Raw genomic sequence first — 25,980 nt, 5'->3', positions numbered from 1 at the left:
TTTAACCTGTTACATGTTTATTAAGGCAAGTGCTTGGAACAGACACCGTGGAAGGAAAGGGAAGAAAGAAGAAGTGGGTAGAAGGAGAGGTTGGGCTGCATGTAGGTCTAATGGCTCAACAAAGCTGTCCTAAATTGGGCTGAAATGATACGGGCTTTATGGATTCTTCTGGATCAGCCATTGGTTGTGAGTCCCCAGGGAAGGGTGTGATCTTGGGGAAGGCAGCTCTCTGCAACTGAGGCAAGTCCTGAAGGGGCTGATGAGAGAAGGCTGTCTGCCAATAGGACTTCCATCAGCTGCAGCAGCAGCTTGAAGGGGATCCGGGTGGCTCACTGCAATCACATATGGTCTAATATGTGCGCCTGGCACCTCACAGGCAATTAATAAATAATAACCACTAGCTGGCTCTGACTTCAGGCCTCTTTCCATAGCATTCCTATGATCTCTCCCCCTATAACCATGGGAGAACTTCACTGTCTGCATCCTCAAAGTGCAGAGAACTCAGACTGAAACCAGTGGACACAGACTGAATGAGCCTCAGGAAACCAAGACAATCAGATGAGACCCTGCTCTTTTAATGTTCTAATGTTTTCTGGGCAGCGAGTTTTGCCCTTAATGGGCTATTTCCAGGAGCCCTAGATCATGCAGAGATATTGCTGCAGTGCCTGGGATCTGGCCCAGGGCAGGAAACACCTGAAGAAGGATGTGCTGCCTGGCACTCTGCTTCCTCACTCAGCTATTCTTCCTTAGTGTTCACAGCTAGTGCAGAGCTCTGGTACTGGCTGCATCTGACTTCGCCAGTGACAAGGCAACTCTCTACACCCTGAGCCAATAAACTGGGTTAGTGTTCATGCTGAAAGTAGGGCTTTCTGTAAGGAAAGTCTCAGCCATCCCCCCAAATGCAGGCAAGGGCAAGTCTGCTACTCGTCAGTTGCAACACTGTGCAGGAGAAATCAGGTCAGATGAGTATCATAGGCAGCCTAGAAGAAAAAGAGAAATGATCAGAGCTGAGCCTCAGGGACACACAAAGGGAGAAAGAACAGCTTGATTTACTTTCCCTGGGAATGAAGAATTTATGGGCTGATGATGCTTATAAGCTCATTATTTCTCTATTTTCTCTGCCTTTCTCAGGCATTGCTAGGAATGTATGGATAGAATTGGAGCTATAGTCATTTCACAACAGCCAACAGGCAGATTTGGGTACACCAATAGCAGTAACATTCATTCATTCATGCACCAAATATTTGTTGTAGTGCCAGGTGCTGTTCTTGGCCTGGGGGTACAACAGTAAAGAAACAAGAGCCCCTATTCTCAGTTGCCAGACTACAATATTATTGGTCATATGTCTAGCAATTGGAATTTGGACCCCAAGTTAAGAGCATTCACCTAAAGTCTGTAACCTTAACCACCATACCACACCATCTACCCCTCCCTACCTCCCATCATACATCCCCTGTCCTCTCACCATTGTATTTATTTTTTATTGTTTATAACATTTAAATCCTGAAGATTTAATGGATGTAAAATTCAGTGTAGGAAGACAGGCAACTTTAAAATTTCCTAGAAATTAAAATAGCTTCATTGGATATTTGTTGGAATAATGGAATTACAGACCTTTAGCACTGGAAGAGACCTGATATGCCATATGCTTGTCTTTCTTCCCTCCTTCCATCCTATCTCATGCTTCATTTCTTGAATGAATGCTCTTTTCAAGGGTCTTCCAGCTTCTGCTTACACAACCTTGGTCATCAGAAACCAAATCCATTTTAGGGCAGATCCGTATGATAGAACTGTATTATTCACACTCAGCTAAAATTGATTTGCTCTAGCATGTCCTACCTCCATGGTCTGGCTCCTGCTTCATTCTAAACTCTTCTGTAAGTGTTCTTCATGCTACTTAAGCTACCTACTGCTTCCTTCCACGTCCTGGAATATGCCCAGTTTGTTTCCACCTTTCCTGTTCCCTCTGCTTGGAATGCTTATCTTCTCTTTTCATCTGGCTAACGACAGAAGCCATCCTTCAGGTCTCAGTTTAAATGTGATTTCTAAAGGAAAGCCTTTAATGAACCCCCAAATCATATTAAACTACTGATTATCCTGATTGCCTACTTTTCTTTTACAATTTGTTGGGTGTCTGTATGGGTAGATAGGTAGGTGGATGGCATGGGTAAAATGATTTCTACTCATTGCTTTTGACTCCACTCTTCAGGCTTTACCAAAGAGGCTTAGTTCCACTTTTCACGAGATCCCATTCATTACCTACATAATGAATTTAGAACACATCGAACTCTCTTGTAATCCACACAACTTCAGTTCCTTTTGTGTTCCTTGAGCATGGCCTCTGTATTGTCCAAAAGGCACCTCCTATAGTTATATTTGATTCAGGTTGATTCTGAATGGAATAGAAATTAATGCATAGAAGGAAGAGAACCCCTGATAGAGGCCAGCTGTGAATGAAAGCAGCAGTGAATGAAAACAAAGACAGGAAATCAATACAGTAATATTGCCAGAAGCAGCTAAATATAGAAGAACCCACATTTATGTTATTTGTACCATCCTTGCAAATACCTGTGGACATGTTACCAGCCAGCCCATTCCCCAGGAGGGCCAAAGTTCATCCTGATATGGGGGTGAATCTATATGTAAGGCTAACTTACTCTTTAAAAAAGTGGCTTAGAGCCATTTTCATCTTCTTTACTATTAGTATTTGTAAAAGTGTTGAAATCCTAATGCCATGACCTACCTTTCTTAGGTCTCAAACCTTGCTTGGATGAGTCATTTTCTCTCTCTGAGACTCAGCTTCTTGTCTGTTAAAAAGAGGATGATAGCACCTGCCTTACTTGACCCTCAGAATCAAATTACATGTAGCAAAAGTGCTTTGTAAGCTGTGAAGCACTATACAAATATAAGGTGTGTTTAGAGAGATGACTTTACTTAGGGAATAAGAGGGAGTGTGTTTTAAATGAACCATGGAATACATCTCTGGGATGAGTTTATTGTAAACTCCAAGCAGGTCACATTTTACCAATGGGATATTAAGAGAGATCTCAAGGGATATTGAGATACATTTTCTTGTCATAAAAAAGAAGTCTATGGTTCATTTTCAGGAGGCAGCCCATCTGTGGTAAGATCAGCAACAAATACCTGTGGATGGTGAATTCTGTTTTATGGAGGCAGGCATTTATACCGGAAGTATGGCTTTTCCCAATGCATACAGAATCAGATTTGGGCAGAGGAATGCTTTTAAAAGTTATATTTTGTACATGTTGACATGAAAACTCTCTTTTCTATAGTTCAAGAAAAAACAAAGGTGAAAAATGATCTTTGGGCAACATATCTTAGCGTTTCAAAACAAACGAGCTTTGAAATCAAGTAAACATGGGTTTGAATCCTAGATTTGTATCATATAAGTGGAAGGATCTTGAGCATGTTCTGAATTGTTTAAGGCTAATTTTTCTTACCCAAAAAGGATCTCTCTCTCTCTCTATTAGTTACTCTATTGGTATGTGTAGAAGTGTAGTATTTGTAAATACCATCATTACAACTTGTTACAAATATTTAAGAAGGACACAAAGTACTGTGAGAGAGAGTAATGGGATTGGGAACTATTTTAGGTGGGGTTGTCAGGGAAAGCCTCATTAAAGCGGGGGGTATTTAAATAGCTGAATGCCTATCAAACATATAACATAGTACCTGGCATATAGTATCAGCTCAGTAAATCACAGTGGTTGTAGTGTGTTTGAGGCATAGAGTTAAGAAAATTTAACCAGCAGTTACAAATATTGAAATGTTAAGTGATATTTAAATAATTGAAATTTTAAAAATTAACAAAAATAAAACAATGGGAGGCATTTCAAATCTGTAATATGAACTCATAAGTATTGTTTATTAAAGCTGCCCTCAAATACACTCTGAAAAAGATGCCTTATTAGATTGTAACCCTAGAGCAACCCTAGCTGTTGCTCTTGAAGCCACTGAACTCTACTGAAAAATGTTATTAGAAATATTTCATGTCCTCTCCTTCTGTCTGGGCCATCTACCCAACACCAGATCTCAGGATTGAGCCTGCTAACTGGTCTCTCCACTTCTCCTCTTCTTTTCCCTCAATCCATTCCATACACAGTAGCCAAAGTGATACCATTAAAGCATAGGTTAGCTTATGTCACCTCCACCCTCACCAGCGTCACCATATTGCTTATGATCCTGCCATGCCTTTTCCTTTCGTTTAAAATAGAATTCAGGCTCCTTGCCATGGCCCACAGGATCTCCATGACCTTTCCACCTCTCCAAAATTATTCTATGCTTGGATTCCTCTCACTCCGTGTGCTCCAGCACACCAGGTACTTAGAAAAAACTGAAGATGCCTAGAAAAAAGTTAGAAAAAACTGAGGACTTCCCTCCACCTGGGATACTCCTTTTTCTCCTCCCTATCCTCCCTTAATCCCCAAAATTCAGCTATTTAAGTACCCCCCACTTTAATGAGGCTTTCCCTGACAACCGTACCTAAAATAGTTCCCAATCCCGTTACTCTCTATCATAGTACTTTGTGTCCTTCTTAAATATTTGTAACAAGTTGTAATGATTGTATTTATTTATACATTCACTGGCTTTTGATCTATCACACCTCATTAAAATTCAGGCTCCATGAGAACAAGAACCAGGTCTTGTATCCTGAAAACTGGGCATTGCATAGTGCTTGGCACATAGAAAAGCACTTAAGGAAAATCGTTGTATAACTAACAAAATGAAGAAGCCCAAATTTCACCTGTTTTCCTAAATGGTAGGTCCCTAAAGACAACAGGCTGGCAGATTGATGACAGCCTTGGTGGTGTTTATTCACTCAGTGTTTATTCACTTGAGAGAAAACACTTTTGCATCACAGCCAAGCTTTCTCAGTGAATTTTAAAAGGAAAGAGAACGCTGTGCATGTGTCATGTGTCCCATGAATTGTTACTGAAAATTCTCAAAGTTAACCCTGGTGGCTGTCAGATTAATTCCCTCTCTCCCCAACTCAGTTATGAATTCAGAGGAGGGATGGATCCAGGTTTGAGGTATGAACTTAATATATAAATGGGGGGTGTGGTGACCATGGAGGTGTGTCACTCAGATCTCTTCTTGAGAGAAACTGGCATGGGATCCAGGGTGTATTAATAGCCTCCAGCTGCAGCACCTTCGCACCCTACCCACCCGCATCCCCAGTGACATCCACTGAGCAGTGATGCTTCCTCTGGTTATTTCAGCCACTGACTGAGCAGAGGAAAGGTTTCAAAGCTCAATCATTTGCTTTTCTTTCTTTTCTTCTTCTTTTTTTTTTTTATTTTTTATTTTTTTTGAGAAAGGGTATCACTCTGTCAACCCGACTGGAGTTCAGTAGCATGATCTTAGCTCACTGTGGCCTCGACCTCCCTGGGCTCAAGCTCTCCTCCCACCTCAGCCTCCAGAGTAGCTGGGACCACAGGTGCATGCCCATCATGCCTGGCTAATTTTTTAGAATTTTTTGTAGAAACAAAGTTTTACCATATTGTCCAGGCTGGTCTTGAACTCCTGAGCTCAAGCAATCCTCCTGCCTTGGCCTCCCAAAATGCTGGGATTACAGGTGTGAGACATAACATATTGCTTATCATTTGTCCTTGATACAGCACTCCTGTGGTGACTACTGTTGTTCGTGGACTCCCCTTTGGCCAGGCCAAGACCTTCTAAAAACTTCTCTGGAGTCTGAGGCTCTTCCTACCCAACACTGACTCCCATTCCTTCTTTCTCTCCTTTCACAGAAGCCAGACTGGTACCACAATCTAAATGCTCTCCCCCACCTACTCCTGCTGTCTCTCTCCTTCATCCTCCCTTCAATGAATATGTTATATACCTAATTTCATCTTGGTGTCTACTTCTCAGAAAACCCAAACTGACACAAGGGGCCTGGCTTGAGAAAAATAAATCACAATTCCGGCTACAAATTTAAATATTGGTCCTTGTACATAACCCATGCAATATGAAGATCCCTGAGGCTGAAGCTTCATTAGCATCACAGTAAATCCACATGTAGCAGAAGCTCTACATCCACGGATTCCCACCCTTGGATGCACACGGGGAGATTTACAAAGTACTGATGATTGCTTCTACCTGAGTATGGAGTGTGACTTGAGCATCAGGATTTTCAAAAGCTCCCAGGATGATTCTGATATTAGCCAGGATTCAGAACCATAGCTCTTCATAGATGGCTGGAGAGGCAGCTGACCTTCAGAAGCATTTCTGATTCCTGGCCTTCACTTGTTTTGAAGATATTACAAGTTCTGCTTCAGTGTTTCTCCAGCAACCAGCTACGTGATGCCCATCAATTACTATCTCCAAGGTTTTCTATCCAGGTCTGGAAAATAGAGTTTTCATGACCTGTTTGAAACTCTTTGAGATTGCTTTCCGGTTATTAACAACGGTTACCCGGTGTGGACCTTGCCAGATACAGAAGTCTTTACAAGTATGGTGTGGAAGTAAGGATCTTTAGTAGAGATCTATAAAACACCCTGATCACTTAAATCATTGAGACTATAACCTCTTAGAAGGCAGGGACCATCTTACCTTGTCTGTGTGTTTGGTGCTATTGATTAGTAACAGGCAATTACTTACATTATAAGAAGGCAATTCATTTTTGCCAAAATGAGCTAGACTGGTATTTCTCAATTCTCATGGATATTTCAAATGTGTCACAATCTCTTGGAGGTGCTGGTTAAAAATGCAATTGTCTTAGCCCCAAGTAAGCCCAGTAAGGATGAGGTAAGGTGAGGGATAGGTAAAATGTCTGCATTTTTAATAATTATTCCAGACAATTCTTATGCAAACCAAGGTGCCTCCTCATCTCTGGTGTGCTATACAGAGCACAGTTTTTCTCTGAGCACAGTTTGGAGCTACAATTTGTCCGCAGTTAAAATGACAATGCTCCATATCCCTGTGAATACTTTCTTTCATCATAAACCTGTCTTAGCACTGAATTCAGCCCACTTGAAACTACCACTTGATTGCAAATTATTTGATCAAGAGTAGATTTTGCAGGTCAAAATGAAAATAATTTTAAATGGGCTTTAAGAATGCAGTAGATATAAAAGTAGACACTCAGCAAACATATTGCGCTATTAAAGAAGACAATTTTAAAGTTCTCCATTATTCTGCAGCACAAATCCAGACAGAAGCAGGAAAGGAAGAATACTCCTTACTGTTCCCTAGCACTACACACTCAAGTTCACATATAGTGAGTCTAATTCCTGCCTTCCTCAGTTCTCATGTGGATCTTGAAATAGCTTCCTAACTGGTCTTCTGCCTTAATGCTTCCTCACATCCTATGCCTAATATGACCATCCCACTATATTGGGAGATCATTCTGCAGTGCCATTTTATTCCCTGCTTAATAGCCTACAATGCCCCATTGCTTAAAGGCTTGTTACTCAAAGTGTGGTGATCTATGTACCAGTAGCATTGCCACTATTACAGAGCTTGTTAGAAATGCAAAATGCTAGTTCTATCCTGGACATACTGAATCAGAATCAGTATGTTAGCAAGTTCCCAAGATGCTTCATATATTATGTTGACTGAAGAATTGCCAGATTCATAAATTTGGAAAGGAGAGCTTTATTTATCCTAAAGGGTTGCAGCATGCAGGCTGGTCATCCCACAGGCTGGGAAGTGTACTCTTGAACTCTTGAGCAAAAGCCAAGAGCAAGCATTTCTAGGAAGGGAAAAATGAAATAGGAATTTATGCCTAATGGGGTGGCCAGGTATACATATTTAATAAGCTATAGGAGTCATGAATATTTATGAAAGGAGAAGCATGCATATGTGCAATTGAGCTTCATGCCTCTTCATGGGTGGTGTGTTCAAAAACGACAACATTAGCATGATCCGAGGGTGGAGTTCTTGACCCTCTGACATCAAAAGGTGAAGCAGAGGACATGAAAACCGTCACTGCACATCCTTCAAGAGTTGGCCAAAACTGGCCCAGAGATGGAGGTCAGTCTTTAGGAAGGGATGCATTGTGAAGTGATGAGCTGTCACCTGGAAACTGTAAAGAGGGAGGGAGAATCTGGTCACAGCCTCAGATGATTGGCTAAAGGTGACAAAGGAATAAGTCATCTGTTTCTTGTTTTCTAGAGCTGGTTTCTGTGTACCCCTTAGGAAAGAATTCTGGTTAAAGGTTAATAAGGAGGAGTGATGTGGTTTGGTTCTGTATCCCCACCCAAATTTTATCTTGTAACTCCCATAATTCCCATGTATTGTGGGAGGGATTGAATCATGGGGGCAGGTCTTTCCCCTGCTGTTCTCACAGTAGTGAATAAGCCTCAAGCAATCTGATGGTTTTAAAAATAGGAGTTTCCCTGCACAAGTCCTCTTCTCTCTTTGCCTGCCACCTTCCTTGTAACGCATGACTTTCTCCTCCTTGCCTTCCACCATGATTGTGAGGCCTTCCCAGCCATGTGGAGCTGTAAGTAAGTCCATTAAACCTCTTTTTCTTCCCAGTTTTGGGTATGTCTTTATCAGCAGTGTGAAAACAGACTAATACAAGGGGCATGTTAAGGAGTGCCCTACCTCCTATCCAGTCATTACTGGGAACTCAATTTTTAAGGTCCCCTTGACCAAAAGGGGGCTTGTTCAGTCAGATGTGGAGCTTAGGATTTTGTTTTTATTACTCAGTTATCACAATGTGAAAAGCTTTAGTTTACTGCATAATGTACAAGCTCTTTAGCCTGGTATGCAAAGCTTCTTGTGATTTTGCCCCTGCTCTTTTATTTATTACCTCTTTCCACCTTCTGCAACTGCAAACCATCCACATTTCTGGAAACATACTATGCTATTCCACTTATACTATTTTTTTTTTTTTTGAGATGGAGTCTCACTCTGTCACCAAGGTTGGAGTGCAATGGCGTGATCTCAGCTCATTGCAACCTCTGCCTCCCAGGTTCAAGTGATTATCCTGCCTCAGCCTCCCAAGTAGCTGGGACTACAGGCATGCACCACTACACCTGGCTAATTTCTTTGTATTTTTAGTAGAGATGGGGTTTCATTCTCTATGTTGGCCAGACTCGTCTTGAACTTCTGACCTCGGGTGCTCCACCTGCCTCAGCCTCCCACATTTACTCATACATTTATACATGCTGTTCCTACTACCTGGAATTTGCTTAGGCATTGCTTCTCTGTGAAGCCTCCCCTGATACTTCCTGAGGAAGTTATTGTATTTATGTTCCCCTCTGAAATGCTTCTTTGTCGTCTATATCACATTATGTTGTGATTGTTTTTTTGTTGGTCTGCTTTCCTAGACTGTGACCATGTGGAGAGTAGGGCCTGTTTTTATTTTTAATCTTTGCATCCTATAACTAGTACAATCTCTAGAATAGAATTTATTAAGTAGAATAGGTACTCAATCAATATTTGATGAATTAAGCACTCAGGAAATATATTGCTCAAAAACTCAATGACCATACAAGTCAGGACTGCATGTGGTTATATAATGCAATCAGTGATATGACTGGCACTCCCCAGTGTTATGCAGTGTACAACTGTACATGACAACTCTGGTAAAGATTGTTCAGTTTATGTATCACTTAAGTGTCAGTGATGACAAGTAACAAAAATCAACTCAGGCTAGCTTATGGCAAGAATGGGAATTTTTTATAAGAATAAAGGAATGACTTGGGGAATGACTTGTAACCAGAATTTATGAAAACAGACTAGAGCCAGAAATCCAAACATTTTCATGACTTTCTCTTCATTTCTTATGGCTGTTTCCCTTTGCACATCAGTATTTGTCTTTCCAGATACAGACAGGCTTTCTTTGCTCCTTGACACATACACATTAAAGGCTATCCCATTGCCCTCAAGTTTAGGTATTACTGGTTTAACCACTTGCAAGAACAGAGGTAAAACATCTGAGAATCCCAGGGGAAACAATCTGGTTGGCTTGGCTTGGGTAGTCTTAACCTATTGACTAACCAGCCATGGCCCATAGGGCTATGCAGTTCAAACATGACTTCTAGGGCCTATTTCTGTAGATATGAAGACAACAGTATCCCCCAAAAGACAGGGTTATCAGCTGGTGACTGGAGCCATACCTCAGATAAATGGAGATCATTATACTTTAATTAGGTACCAGACTGGCTTCGCCTACTTAATACTAACAAACAGTACTAATGAGATAGAGGCCATAGGTTCTATCCCTATGCTGGTCAGGAAAACTTGCTTGGTATTTTGCCAAATAGCAAAGAAACTGAGTTCTAAATAGTTATGTCAATAATTCTTTGGGTAAGACTTGCTTTCCATTACTTTCCTGGTCCAACTTCCATAAACTGTAGTGAGGAAATGAAGAATAGAGTCATACATGCAAAGAAAATAAGGACTAGCATCGCCTAATAGACTGTGACTTCATTGAGGGCAAAAAGTGCTTCTTTTTATTTTTGTCTTCTTTTCCCTCCCCAGAAACTAAAACATTTCGTGGGCCATGTGAATCTTCTAGTGGATTGAATTAAAATGGACTGGAACATTTTTAATTCTCGGCACAGAGGCTTATTAGAACAGTGTCAGAAGTAATGTATAAACAAGATGTTGTGAGTTGCTGAAGATGCAGCAGTTATATTATAAACTTTTAGTGGCTTCCAAATGAATGGAATCTTAATTTATGATGAAGGTAATGGTGTTACAGAGCTATGTCTCTAAGGCAAATTATTTAACCCACCCAAACCTCATTTTCCATGTTGGTAAAAGGGAAATGATGATAACATCTACCTTATAGAATACTTGCATAGCTTAAGTGGGAAAATGTGTATCAAACATTTGGCACACTGCTTAGCACATAGTGAACACTCAGTAATTGTTAACTATTATTATTATTTATGGATTTATTTCAAACACTGGCTAGCTAACTAAGGGGGACTTTGCCAAGACTCTAGGCACCAACATGAGGGAGTTAATATTTCTGGGTTACATCATAATCCCAAAACAAACACAATGGCTTGGATGCCATAATAACTTCTTAGACCTAGCTAATTTGCCACTAGGGAGCTTAGAAAGATAATGGTTAATGAGAAAATATACAACCAATCTATATATGTTATTTCTAGAGCCTGTCCAATTCCCAGGGGACAAAAAGTTCAACTCAAAGTGTTTTGGGGAGATAAAAAAATTGCTGAGTAAAAGATAATGGGAGAATAACCCATTTTCTGCCTTTAATATGGCCCAAGCATCCACCTCTCTTTCTAACCTCCTCTAAATCACCTTGACTAAAACGTTGCCACTGTTTGGGTCAATAGGAAATAAATACCATTTTTGTTGTTGTGATTAGAAACTCAGGTATTGCAGAAATCTTCACCAATCTTGGCTTCTTTGTCAGCTTCTATCAGCCAGAAGGTCCTCAGTACATTCTTCAGTCTTTTCAATTACATCTCCAAAATAGATGTCCCAATTGCCAGTGGGGATGTCTAAAACCAGGAAGCTGCAGTCTGAATGATTTTCTTAATAAAGAATGAGGAGGCAAAAGACAAAATTCACTGAACTGAAAGAAATCCCACTGACAACTGGCTGTCCAATATTCTATAAGAAAATTCTGTCAAAAGATGCAGAGTAAAATTGCTTGGGTCATTTTACTGAAGGTATACAAAATACCAACTAGTCCACAACATAAACTAGAGGGCTTCCAGTTGATTCACCCATCCATTTTCATTTGTTTGGGTATGATTTGTCAGTTTCCTCCAAAAGACTGTAAGCTCCACAGGACCAAAACCACAGGTGTATCACTTTACTGTTGTAATCCCACTACCTAGTACAGTGTCTGTCTGGCATAGAGTAGGCACTCAAAAATGTAAAGAATAAGCATGGATTCTTTTATGTTATGGGAACATAAGTCTCTATTATAGATTATGTGCCCCAAAAGGAGATGCTGAGTAAGATTTGAGGTGCAGACCCTACACAGCCTTGGCCAACCTGACGGGAAATCTTTAGAGCAAGTTTAGACTTTCAAAGTGTTTTATTAAACCAAACTAGTTGTCCTTTTATGTCTCCACTTAGCTCAATACAATCCAATGGATACAGGCTTCTTCAGGAAAGGCATGACTTTGGGCAGGGAGGCTCTGCAGCTGATGGCAACCTTGAAGGAGCTGACACCTAGATGCTGTCTGCTGACCCTGTTCTCATAGGGCTGAGCAGCATGTCCTTCCTTGAAGGGGTCACAGGATGCTGTATTTTGTGGAATTATATTACTTTGCTCCCTGGTAGAGATGAGACAAAGGGTAAGACCTGGAGAAGAAGGTTCTCTGTTGGCTGAGGACAGTGATGAATATCTGAATGTGCAAAGAGACCTCAAAGTGAGTTTAGAGGTGATCAAGAGAGAGATGAACTGCCTTCATAATACAATAGGAGAGGTTCTTTTGTTTGTTTTTAATTTGCTGGAGGATGGTGGTGAGGGTCAAGAAATTGAGCTAAAGACTTATGCCTGAGGCCTAAATTACCACACATTATAAGATTTTTTAAGCCCTGAGAGACAATTATTTATCTGCTTGTAAACCTACAGCATCACTTCCCACCTCTAGTGCCTATTACTCTGTACCCTTAGTAAATATATGCTTCATATCTGCATGTATCTATGTTGTCCATTGGAGTACATTCTTAAAGTCAAGCTCTACACAAATTAACTTAAGCAAACACACAATGCACTTAGTGTTAAGAATGTGGAAAAGAGACCTAACCAGAAATATTAAAAAAGTACTCAACAAACCTAGAGGAGCTTACAAGTCTATGGATGTAAGCAAATGAAATGGTCCAGGCACAGGGGCTCACGCCTGTAATCCTAACACTTTGGGAGGCCAAGGTGGGTGGATTGCCTGAATTCAGGAGTTTGAGACCAGACTCGGCAATATGGCAAAAACTTGTCTCTACCAAAAAAAGAAAAAAAAATTAGCCAAGCATAGTGGCCAAGTGCCTGTAGTCCCAGCTACTGGGGGGCTGAGATGGGAGGATTGCTTGGGCCTGAGAGGTCGAGGCTGTAGTGAGTTGTGTTCATGCTGCTGCACTCCAATCTGAGTAGCAGAGTGAGACCCTGTCTCTGAAAAAAAAAAAAAGAGAGAAAGAAAAAGAAGAAAGAAAGAAGGAAAGAAAGAAAGAGAGGATCTTTTTAAGTGAGCAAAACTAGAGCATACCTAACTAAACCTGGTAATTATCCAATCTGACCAGTCTACATTCTACTCTCCCTTCCAGTTTGTGAAGCCCAGGGGATATTAGTCAATGTGATAGTCTCACCTGGACCAAATCAGATAACAAAGATTCATACCCAACAATGATAGAATACATGGTAAGCACACATACCTTGTTTCTATCCTTTATTACTCAATTCTCAGCCTTTTGGCTAAGATCAAATGTCTTTCCTTTCTTGACTGCCCTTTGTAGGGTTGCTCTCCATGCCTGCTCCACCCTCAAAAGTGATTTCATGGAAATCAGAAAATGAGAACAGAGTGTCATGTGGGTTACACAGAACAGAGAGAAAGACACACATCAAAGTTAAACATGCATTGGGAATAGAAACTTTGAGCACAAGCCCATTAGAAACCATGCCAAGAAGTTCTGGGGATAATACGGAATGTGGGTTTTGAGATGACATTTATGTTATGATATTCTGCAAAGCAAGAATCCAGAGTCTATTCACTTAAGGAGCAGTATCTCAAGGATAATCTCCTTGATTATGGACATTTTCTGCTAAGAGAAACTTTTTGAATCTGTTAATCTTAGTAATATATACCAATGCTTGAACACGTACAGGATCCATTAAATATTTATAATGCCGGGTCCAAAAGCACAGGTCAAACCAGTTGAAACTCTAGAGCCGTGTTTGTTGACTATGAGTGATTTTTGCTCCCAGGGGACATTTGGCAATATCGAAGACCCCTTTTGGTTGCCACAACTAAGGGGCTGGGCTGATTGATATCTAGAAAGTAGAGGCCCAGGATGCGGTTGAAGCCTACAAGACACAGGACAACCCTCTACAACAAAAAATTATCTGACCCCAAATATCAACAATGCTGAAGTGGAAAAACACCTCTCTAGAGTGAATTTATTGGGACATGTGTATCTGACAAGTCCTGAGTCAGGTGAGCTTGATCCAGCAGCTTCAAGGAATCCACCAGGCCTTGAGTTCTGCCTGCCTTTTTGTCTTGCTTATTGTGGTGTTGGCTTAGTCCTCAGGATCTTGCCTCTCACCTGCCAGCTCCAGACACTCCCCTTGTGGTACCAAAACAGCTGTGGAACTTCCATCTTCACACCACACTACTCAAGAGAATTATTTTCTGCCAGCTCCCACACAAATCCTCAATTACTTTTGGTCATTTGTACAATAGGTTAAGGACCAACACTGTGGTCAGTCAATCAGCTACTCTCTTAATCCAGTGGTTCTCAACTTCAGCTCTCATCAGAATCACTGGGAGGGTTTGTTAAAATATACACTGCTAGGGTGTACTTCAGTAGGTCTTGGATGTTTTTTTCTATGAAGGATCAGATGGTATTATTTTAGGCATTGCAGGCCAAATAAGCTCTGTTTTCCTTCTAGTCTTCCTCCTTTTCTTCTCATTTGTGGCCCCCTCCTCCTTCTCTTCCTCCTCCTCCTCATTCTTTAAGCAATTCTTTACAAATGTAAAAACACATTCTTAGAACATAAGCTGCACAAACGCCACTGGCTGCATTTGTCCCTAGACTGTATTTTCATTGACTCTGAGCTTCCCCCCGTTTAACTCACTACATTGTTTACAAGAAAAGTTTGCAGAATCCAAGTAAAAAATGATAATTATGACAGAACTCTAAATGGTAGCAGAGCTGAGGGAGAGTATCCAAAAGAGGACAAACTTGGAAGGGGGGGCCACCTTCCCAAGGCTGGGATTCAGACCTGATTAGAGAAGGCTGCAACTCACTAGGTGGTAGAGAAATGTGCTGTTTTGCTAGGTCAGAGCCAGTCCGCAGTTGCTGGACAAGCCGGAAGTAAACCTTGGGGCATAGGTGTGATATGGCTGGTAACTGGACATGCAGGCTTGCAGAGGGTGTTGGATAGGTGTGGGAAGAAAGCTTGAATGTGCAGTGCCCCATTGGAAAGACCATGGACAGGTGAGACTAACTGGGGCTGCTGAGTCATGGAGGGACTCATGCTCTGGCTTCATGATAAGGGCAGAGCCCCACCACATGTCTTCCCCTCCACACCAATGACTGTCAGTGCAGCTTCTGGACAAGAGAGTCCCTTTTCTCCTCTGATGTGCATCCAGTGCCTGCTACTAAGAAAGCTTAACATCGTGCTTATAGTAAAGGAGAAATGCTTAAAGTCCACCATTATTACAGAGCAGGTATCGAAGGGTAAATTTGGAGATGAAAAGCAAAAAAATGATAACTGGTACACATGTAATTTTGTATAATCCTTATAATAACCCTATGAGGAAGGAATAAAAGTTACTCACATTTTATAGCCCAGGAAGCTGAGATTCACATAGGCTATATTGTCTTCCCTAAGTTCCATACATAGTGACTGGGAGAGCCAGAATTCAAACCCCAGGAGACTGATTCCAAAATATAGCAAGTACAATCTACACCCAGCCAACCAGATTAGCACTGGGCTCTATTATCCATGGCTCCTCTCCTTTCCTTATGTGTTTGATATAGGCAGGGACAGTGAAATTTCAGGAAATAGTTAGAGACCAGAATTGAAGATCACATCATCATTCTTTTTTCCTCTTTGATATTCAAGAAAGTTAAATTGTTTCATCAAAAACATTGAGATGCTTAACATAAAATGTATAACCTCTTTGAAAAGCTTTATCCTACTAGAGTTCCAAGGGGAAATAATGAAAGAATGCATTATAAATTCTGGCCACAAACACATCTATATTTTTATTCAATTTTGTCACTGTCAAAAATATTGAAAGTATTGGGGAACATTTGATGGATTTTCTGGAGATTTTAGCATCTTTGAGCTTTGGTCAAAAAACTAATTTATCATTATTACTTGGCCCTTGGACATTTGTATTCTGTTTTGCAAACCTCACAAAATGATCATTTCCTTGCTTCCTAAGTACCCTTTCCTCATGAATCCTGTTTTATAATTACCAATAGAACCTGAAAGAGGCCCTTGGGAAATACCATTTACATGGGATAAAGTGATTGTCAAGGCCCCACAATTCCCATGGCCACTTTTTTGTTCTGACATTTGTATTAAATAGACATTTGCAGAAAGTTTCTGTTTCTGAATTTGGTGGGATTGGGTCCTCCTATTTACTTCTACTTTAACAAAATCAATGTTTTAAATAAAAACTGAACATGTTAAGATATATTAATAAATGCAATGTATGCACATTGCAGAAAATTTAGACAATACAGAAAAGCCCAAAAAGTAAATCCAGCCACATTTCCACCACCCAGAAGCAGTCATGGTTTGGAATGTTTCCTTTCAGGCTTGTTCTTTCTACATGTATAGCACATTTGCAATAGGTTTGTCAATACAATTCATATACTGCCTTTCTACAAATGACTCATTTTTTAAACACCTCTGAATCTTTTATACTGGCTATAACAACAGACACAGACAAGCGCTCAGCTCCTAAGTATACGAGCTTGTGAATTTCCACAAACTGAACATGCCTATTCAACCAGCCTCCAGATCAGAAACAGAACATCACCAACTCCTGGGAGTGCACCTCCCCAACCCCTACCCCTGTGCCCGGCAGTCACTATCCTGCCCCAACAGCAACCACGGTCTGGTCTTAACGTCCATCTCCATAGATCTTGATTTTTAAAACTTTATATAAATGGAGGCATGAAGTATGCTTTGTTTTTCTCATGCAACACTTGGCATGTGAGATTCATCACTATGTGTAGTAGTAGTTTCTTCATTTTCCTGGCTGACTACAAAACTTTTTGAAACTATATGGGATTAGAAGAGTGAATTTCATATATACCCTAGTTCAGGAAACTGATCTCTGCCATCTCCTAGTGAGGAAACGTTATTCAGAATTACTTCTCTGATGAGAATTGTAGTGATTTTTAAAAATCTCAGTGGAGGGTTAAGGGGAAAATTATGTAAGTGGCTTCTATAATAGCCTCCAAAGTTATATATGTATCCAGGACTACTGCGAGTCCCTCTAAATGCAAGTGTCCCAAGTCAGAAAGGGTTTTCTTTCTTAGGAAGATGTGTTAAAAACAGAATGAGCAAAATATTGGGATTAGACAAAGCAAATAAATGAGCTCACAGGAACTTCTTTTATTCTGATTATTTATGGAGTATAGCTACAATTCAAAGGGATTTCTTAATTCATGAGAACATTAACTTCTTGATTGCTTAGAGCAAGCAGTACTACTCAAAGTAGCAAGGACCAAGTAGCTTTGGACCTTGGACTAACAGCATCAGTTTCACAAAAGAGCTTGTTAGAAATGCACATTCTCAGCCTTATTCCTGGGCCTACAGAATCAATATTTCTGAATATAGGGCCCAAATATCTTGGTTTCAATGAGCCCTGCAAGTGATTCTGATGCTGACTGAAATTTGAGAAACCTTGTTTAGGAGCAAGAGATGGTAGTGGTAAAAAGCTTGAGGGGGAAGGTGAGGGAGCTGAGAGCAGTGGCTCACGCCTGTAATCCCAGTGCTTTGGGAGGCCTAGGCAGGAGGATCACTTGAGGCCAAGAGTTCAAGACCAGCCTGGGCAACAGAGCAAGACCACATCTCTACAAAAAATAAAATATTGAAACAAAAATTTAGCTTGTTGTGGTGACAAACGCCTGTAGCCCTAGCTACTCAGGAGGTTGAGGCTGGAGGATCATTTGAGCATAGGAGTTTGAGATTGCAGTGAGCTATGATTGTACCACTGCACTCCAGCCTGAGCAACAGAGTGAGACCCTGTCTCTAAAAGAAATAAAAGTCAGTGTATGATCCTGGGCAAATTACTTAACTGTTTGAGACTCTGCTTTGTTACATAGAAAATTAGACTGTAATAGCAACCTCATAGGATTTCTATGAACTTTAGACAAAGACAATGCCCATGAAGTGCTCACCACAATGCTACCTAAGGAGTTCTTTTTTCTTGGGGGTCCACATTTGGCCTTTAGGATTTCCAAGAAATTCCTGATTAAACCATAGGTAGATAAAATGGGCCCAACTGGGCTGATCAGAGACTCTTTCCTAGGAGCTTGAAGAAAAAGATGTGAGAGTTTTAGTCTTCACTCCCCGCTTGACATGTGAATGTCAAGGGCATGTGAATAAGGAAGCCAGGGGCAGCTGTCTTCTGCCATATGGGCAGAGATGGAGATTCAGCAGGAGTGTTGAAAATCAAGAGAAGAATGAAGCGGAGGTGCAAAACTGAAGGAAAATGAGAGACCATATGGCCTCAGAGAGAGAGAGAGGAGAGACAGAGAATAGATACTCAATTTTTCAACCCAGACTCTTCAGAGGTCAGACTACAATTAACACCCCCTAAAATGCTCCTGTATCCTTATAGCCTCTTAATATTTCAGCTCATTTGAGGAGACACATGATAATTGTAACAAAAAACAAACCTTGACTAAGACAAAGTACAGCTTCAACATTGTCCCAGCAAAAGTCCCATTGCTACCACTGTCTAAACCAAGACCCTGGCAGCCAGGACAGTCTTACCCCATGCAGTGTTTCTGATGCTTTTATCTTCCTGTATCCACATCTTTAAAATAAAGCATCTTTGGGCAGCTGCAGTAATACTCACAGCAGGGAGAATATTTACATCTTCAACATAACCACCTGGAAGAATGAAAATGAAGATAAGATTGTCTTATAGCTCTTGGAGAAAAAGCTCATAATTTCCCTTTTTATGATAATAAGAGACATTTACTCCCTGGAGTCTAATAACAGCAAAGTGGCAGAAAAGCCTCATCATTAGGCTATCTTTTGATGAATTCATTTTGGTAGTATCAGGAAAAAAAATTCTTAAAGTTGCAGATCACATATAAAAGTAACAAGTATTCTTCATGAATCTATCTCCTATGTCTCCTTCATGCCCTCCCTACTCTGATTGACAGCTGGGGGAACAGAACACTTGAGCTCCTGGCTGGGCTTTGCAGAAGCTGGTTTTTAGCCAAACTTACAGGTAGATATTGATTACAACTATTTATCATGCATTGAAGGGATAATGGAGAGCACTCCCTCTCCACACCCCACCACCTGTGGGTTCCTTGAGAAAAAGGCTTAAGGCTCTATCGTTAGAATTCAGAAGAGTGTCTGGGTTATTCAAGAAGACCTGCTGACATCCAATGTTACTTCCTATCTCCTTGCAGTGATGGAAATAAAATATGAGTATTAAACTCTATAGGCACCACCAAAGAAGTTTAATTATACACATAAAAAGAAAGAATCTATATGATATTTGTAGAATCTCTCTAATAATGTTCTCTTTGTTTATGCTTATTTGCTGTTTAATGTTTATATTCAGAGAGGAACTTGCCCAGGAGCCTCAAATGAGATCCAAGAGTTATGATTGAATACCCACATTGCCTCACATTTCTGTTTCTGAGAAAGTCATTAAAAAGAGGGTGGGTGGGCCGTTAACCCTCTGTGCCCACCTGTTTATCCAAGTTACTCATAACTTAGGGTAGTAGTAGTGAGGAGAGAGGGCTTCTAAGAGTGCTCAGGCATTCAAAACAACAAGTTCATCAGAGGGCAGAGGTAGTGGCCATAGTATATCAATGATGATTTGCATTGTCTGGGAGCCAGGATAGATAAGCAATTTAAATAATTTTTTTGAAGTTTGATTGGTGTCTATCTTGTCTGTTTTTGTATGTCTCAAAATTGTGTTTAAAAGGATGAAAGTAAGGCTCATCCGTAAAGTGAAATTTAGTTTTATTAAGTTTTAAGGCATTTATTTATCTTCACATTCACTTGTCATACTATTTCAATAAAAAGCGTGTAGTTCAACATCTTCATTAATAATATAAATTAACAAATTGAGGTCAAGGAAGGTAAAGCAGCCTTGTCCAAACTAGCAAATGGCAGACCCAAACCCAGTCCTCTTCATCCTCAAGCTAATGTGCTTTATCCCTGGGTCAAAGTTTTACTTCAGAATACCCCCCGTTTTCTCCAAGATATGAGTAATACAGTTTTTAAAAATCCTGCAAATAGGATTTTTTAAGGGATTGAAATGCTCAGCAAGGGCTAAGATATTATAACACCAGGTACTTTCTTCATTATATCTGAATCATTCTCTAGATATAGGTTAAGCCCTGGAACAGCAAGTTTCCTTACTTCCAACACAGAAACAGGGCCATGCATCAGGAAGAAAAGCTGGAGGTAGCCCCAAGGGCCTTGATCATTACCCATCGGTCTGAAGCTACATTCATTAAAGGAATCATTAAAGGAATCATTTTATATCAAGCGGGTACCTATTTCTAAACTTTTTAGAAAAATTGCATATGTTTTAAAGTTAAATTTTTGCCCTTGGGAAAGGGTTTGTTCTGTTTCAAACAGGCAGTGTATACTCTTTTCATACATGTTTTTGTTTGTCTTTCTGGTTTCTCGGCATCCTTTGAGAATTTGACCCTGACTCTGACCCTGTGTGTTCTGGAGGGACGTCAATCATGGAATCCAGAGTCCCTGACCACAGCTTAGGTAAAGGACTGAAGATTTGACTTGATGACAATCAGAATCTCCCTCCAGAATTTTGAATCTTGGGGAGTCACATACATGAGGTGGCTGAGGATGAAAGACCTGATTGCAGAATCATGGAGAGACTACTTGTGAGTTCCTGCCATCAAGACCCCTCAGGATGCTTATCCATGTCTTTTCCAAAACCTAAACCTTAAGCTCTACCTTCAATTCCACAAATTGTCTAGTATCTTCTTACTTGTCTGTTGATTTATCTGCCTATTGCTTAAGTTACTGCAATGCATAGCTGTTGCTTGCAATCAAAGAACTCTAGCGTTACTCAATTACTGAGTAGGGATGTAATCCTGAGCAAGCAAGTTCCTTCCCCTCTTTGAACATCAATATTCTTATCTGCATAATGAGCATGATAAATTAGGTTGGATGTCTCTGTACGTAAATAGATGTGAGAATATAAAGGAGATGATCAACACATTTTTTTGAAAGAATCAGTATGTTAAGCTTTGTGCTAAGCCCAGGGAACCACAAAGATAAGTGAGACAGTGTGTTAAGATTCCATTCTGTTGTTCTGGGCATCTAACTTTTTATATAATTAGGATAGCAGCCAGTAATTGAAAACTTTCTCTATTGAAATAAGAAATTTTACCCTACAGTTGGACAGAAATGGTGGGAGACCACAAAAGGGCTCATAAAGGGAGATGTCTTGACTGTGAGTATCTGCTGCAAGCAAGCCCCTTGGCACCTATGAGCACCCTCTGACATCCCTGATGAAAGGATGAGCACATTGTTGCTGGCTTGCTGACTCTATAGTCAGTGATTCTTTTTCCCAAGAACAGCTCCTAGCACATATCTCAAAGCCTTGAGCCTTGACTGATCAATGCTTGGCTAAGCCAGGGCAGTCACTGGTGGTTTGGCACAGTTTTATTCTTGGCACTGACACCAATGATACCTTGCAGATTTCAAAGCTCTTACACACAGCTAGATACTTAGCCTGAATTCAGAAAATAAAGTAAGAAATGCTCCCTCATCACCTTTTCTATTCTTCTATGCAGACCCCAGGTAATAACCACTGTGAGTGTATAGTTGAAAATGTGGTTTATGGCCCAGAATCACCTCACCTGACATCCAGTTCTTTATGCACCGTCAGCCTTAAGAGGGGGAATATATAAGACTGAGCTTTTCTTCTGAATTAAAAAGAAAAATTAAGCTATATTGAACATCATATTTTACATACCTTTTCTTCTTTTAACTCACAAGAACCCAGTAATGTAAGCATTATTACTACAGTGTTTCAGTTGGGGAAACTGAGGCCTAGGATGTACAAAGAGGCAATACAAAGATTCAAATCCAGATTCCCTGATGCCAGCCTCTTGGCTTATCTTAACCATCACACACTCTGCCTCTTGCCTCTCTTCTTGGTAATGGGAAGGGGGTAAGGAGATAGCTAAATAATCTGATACAATATTAATAACTGTTCTTTTGTGCTGTTTGGCATCATTATGCAGGATCTGTAACTCATGACCCTGATAACATTCTCACCTGAGTATAGGCATAGAAATAATGTCCCCCTTAGCCTTCCATTTTCTATACCTTCCGATATTCAGCTGTCAGTTACCTACAATAACATTTTGAATTCCAGATGGTCTCACTCTAATATTTGGGGAATGTTGGAGCCGAATTTCTCTTGGATCCGATTTTCTCTCTTCCTCCTTTCATGCTAGGGTAGAAACTCCATTTAATATTGAACTGTGCAGGACCTAAATAGAATATCAAACCAGACACTCAGGCTAAATCTTATGCATTATAAAGTTGAACATATTTTGAGCAACTAATTCTCTGCTAGTCAGTTGTACTGGCAGAAAATATTCAATCACACCTCCAGGCTAGAATAAAATGAGTGTACAACTGAAGAAAGTCCACGAGAGTTATTATGATACTAGCTATTGAGTTTTCTTGAAGCCTTCTAATTTCCTCCTATTATAATAATTACCACTTAGAACCAACTATGTGCCAGGCACTGTGCAAAATTCTATACAAATACCATTGTACATATTCAAAAGAACAACAAGAGATAAATAATAGATACCTCTATTACCCTGAGAAAATTAGGACATAGAAATTTGCCCAAACAAATGGTGCAATCAGGACTTAAACCCAGGTGACTCCAAAGCCTATATTTCTAAGCACTGATCTAGATGACTTCTACTCTCCCAAGAAAGGAAGCATTACTAGTTTCATAAATCATTCCACCTATGTGCTCAGTGTCATGCACTTTACAAATATTCAGATAAATTCCACCTCCCTCACTCCCACTTATCAGTCAATAGAGGAAATGTATAAAAATATCCAGCCACATTTGTCAAACATGATCTGTTTTTCACCAACACAGTAGAGACTCAGTAGATTTCCACTGATATCAGCTGAGAAAATAATCAATTCTGCTGCAAACTCACCTTGCACATAATGTCATTCATTTGCCCTTGTAAATGATTTAATAGACTTTCTGGGGACTGAACTATTCATCCTATAAAAGGCCAACATTAAGAAATGTGAGAAAGTGCTAGAAAGGTTAGACTTTTCAAAAGTAAGTAGAATCTCCTTATGCCTGTGTGAAGTGGATGATTTAATTAATAGAGCAGGAATACTGGGAGCTTAAGTTAGACCTAGAATCCTCAGGGGCATGAATTCTTGAGTCAGCAAGAGAGAGTCAGTGCCTCAAGGCTGAGATATCAGTCAAACCTCTGTCCTCCACTTTTCTGGGGTATAAAGTGTTTGTTTGTTTTTTTTTTCTCTTTTCCCTATGCAACAACGCAGCAGCAGATCCAAAATAACTATCCCTAGTGTAGAGACCCATCAGCGATGCTAACTCCACTCATGACGTAGCTGCTCGATATTTGGTCAAAATTAGCTCTTTTTCATAGAATGTAGCTTAGATTTTCCTCCTATGCATTCGCTAAAAGCAAAAGTAACCACCTTAACACCTGTCATATAAAGAAGACATTTTATTTGCCTCAAACAAAATAATACTTATAATAGAAAAAAACAATCATAACAAAAATAAAGCAGCCAAAACCCAATAAGAGCAAAACCACTATGTGCTTTAGCCATGCTGGGTCCTGACTAGGATTGCTTTAAGCAAGTGTTGGTATCTCACCTTACATCATCCCCTTTTTCCTGTTAGTTGCTGTGTTGCTGAGTCTATTATTCAACTATCAAAAAGCCAAAAAGAGAAGTTATGAGGCAGTTTCTGATTACACAAATATCTAATGTCCGCATTGTCTCTGTTTATTCAGATTGCCAATGACTTTAGAATTTAGAAGCTATCATTCAAAATGACCTAGGATTAGGGCCTAGAAGACCATCATTTCCAAAGTATCCCTAAGAAGGGTACACTGGATAAGCTACAGAAGTCTGAGGGTGCAAGGAAAACTAAAAAGCTAAATTCCAGAAAATGGTAAGACCTTCCTAACAGAGGAAAACAATTACTTTAACCCTGGTAGTATTGGGGGAGGAAGGAAAATCTAGTAAAATGCTAATGAAGATAAACTAGGCTAACTTTCAATAAATTTTTAATGACTGGATGCAAGCATCATGAGAGATTATAATCCCAAGAAGCCTCAAACACAGAGAAACTTTGCACCGATTCTCCATTTCTTTCCCAGAGGCTTTTTCTGGGTGCTCGAGTGTGTTATTCTGATGAATAACAGCAGTGCAGGAGAACTAAGAGAAAGTCATCCAGGTGATCTCAGGTTTTCAACAAGTTGGTTCTCCAACTTTCAGTGGTGCTCCAAAGGCTGAATGTGGGGCAGGAGGACTAAGAGAAATTCCATAAAGTTTATGCTTTAATCAAGCATAAACATTTCCTTTTATTTTTCAACTCTCTCTCTATTATGTATATACATAAAACACTAAACTGTATATTACATATTTTACATAACATATATATTATCATATACAACTTAAAAAGTCCTGGCTGATAAGGAAGATATTTTTAAGACATGTGAATGTGGTAGGAAATAAATTTCTAAACAGCACCCAAATTCAAAATGCCAGGAGAGGCTCTGAGACAGAGATCCCAGAAGTCTTACCAGTACTCACATCTCAAGTCCTTGTGAAGTTAAAATTTTTCAGGTGAACTGAATCAAACTAATGCTTCATCAAAGCTAAAACTAGATTAGATTGACTCAGCTCCCAACACATTAGCCTCACAGAATAAGGAACATGTCATTTTCTGGAGGCAAATATTGCTTACTTATGTCTCACCTGATCTTTTGCACGTAGTACATAAGACACAGTAAAAAAAAAAAAAAGAGAGAGAGAGAGACACTGAAGAAGGAAGAACATGTGACCCATGGTCAATATAAGAAATAATCAATAGAGACATACAGTAGTATAACATAGAAAATTTAAAGAATGATAAAATGTAGGTTAAAAACTAGAATAAATGACGGACAAGATGTGTGAACAGATGGGGAATTTCAGCAAAGTAATAGAAACAATAAAAAAAATTCAATTTCTTCGTCTTTCAAATGAAGATGCCCAAAGTTATTAAGTAATTTGCCTGAGGTCACATAACTAATCAGAAATATAACCAAAACTTTAAAAAAATCCATTTTTCCCAGATGATCTGCCTCCTCTCACACCTCAGCCTCCTGTTTTTCCATCTGTATTTTCTTTCAAGACCTTGTTTCTTCCTATAATAGGGAGCAGAACCCATCCAATCATCTTTTGGAGAGATGAAGAAACTGGGCTTTCCTGAAGCCATCTGACCTACTGTACCTGTTCATTTCAGCTGAGGAGCTGTCACACTACTAAGTTCTGAAATGGAAATCATGCTGTAGGTCATATACCAAGGTTTACATAGGAAAAGTCTCATTTCCTTTATCTCTACTAATTTTATTAATGATAAGGCTACTGGTGACCTAGAATAGGAAGCATGAGTCTTTACTCCCGTTCCAGGCTCAAAACCCAGCATAGCAGGTCCAAGCTGTGATGGAAAAATCTGTAGGCCCATGACTCATTTGCTCTTCAGAGGGGAGCCCCCAATTTTCCTCTGAAAAATCTCCCTTATCCTACTTACAGTCCAAAATGTTTATATAGTATTGGTTTCATCTCAACTCCAGCTTCTATGGGGGACAAGTTATTAATTTGGCTTGTGTGAGCATTTCATTGCCTCCTTACTCACCCAACTACTACGGTTGGATCAAGAATGAGTCCATACCCAATATGAGCCTTTGAGACACAATCTGGGTTTTATTACTAGGACTTGTGTATTTTGTTGAAAAATAGAGGCATAGTTCCTCTTTTTGCTAAACCTGGACACGTAGAAATATAAGGTCTCAGTTTCCATGAGCTGTATGTAGAAG

General features: G+C 39.9%; 1 long non-coding RNA gene across 1 annotated transcript; it reads right to left on the bottom strand.

Moving 5' to 3' along the window:
* On the bottom strand, positions 1-22,375 carry LINC00698 (long intergenic non-protein coding RNA 698). Its single transcript, NR_027104.1, has 7 exons — positions 22,264-22,375; positions 18,641-18,760; positions 11,297-11,486; positions 6,121-6,364; positions 2,744-2,807; positions 1,615-1,740; positions 1-980 (listed from the first exon to the last, which is right to left on the bottom strand). It is a non-coding gene; the product is annotated as a long intergenic non-protein coding RNA 698 (long non-coding RNA).
* Between the last annotated feature and the right edge of the window lie 3,605 nt (positions 22,376-25,980).

The sequence above is a fragment of the Homo sapiens genome, chromosome 3 (assembly GCF_000001405.40).
Source record: "Homo sapiens chromosome 3, GRCh38.p14 Primary Assembly".
Taxonomy (NCBI): domain Eukaryota; kingdom Metazoa; phylum Chordata; class Mammalia; order Primates; family Hominidae; genus Homo; species Homo sapiens.
Note: the sequence above shows the minus strand (reverse complement) of the source record. Positions and strands in the feature narration are given on the sequence as shown.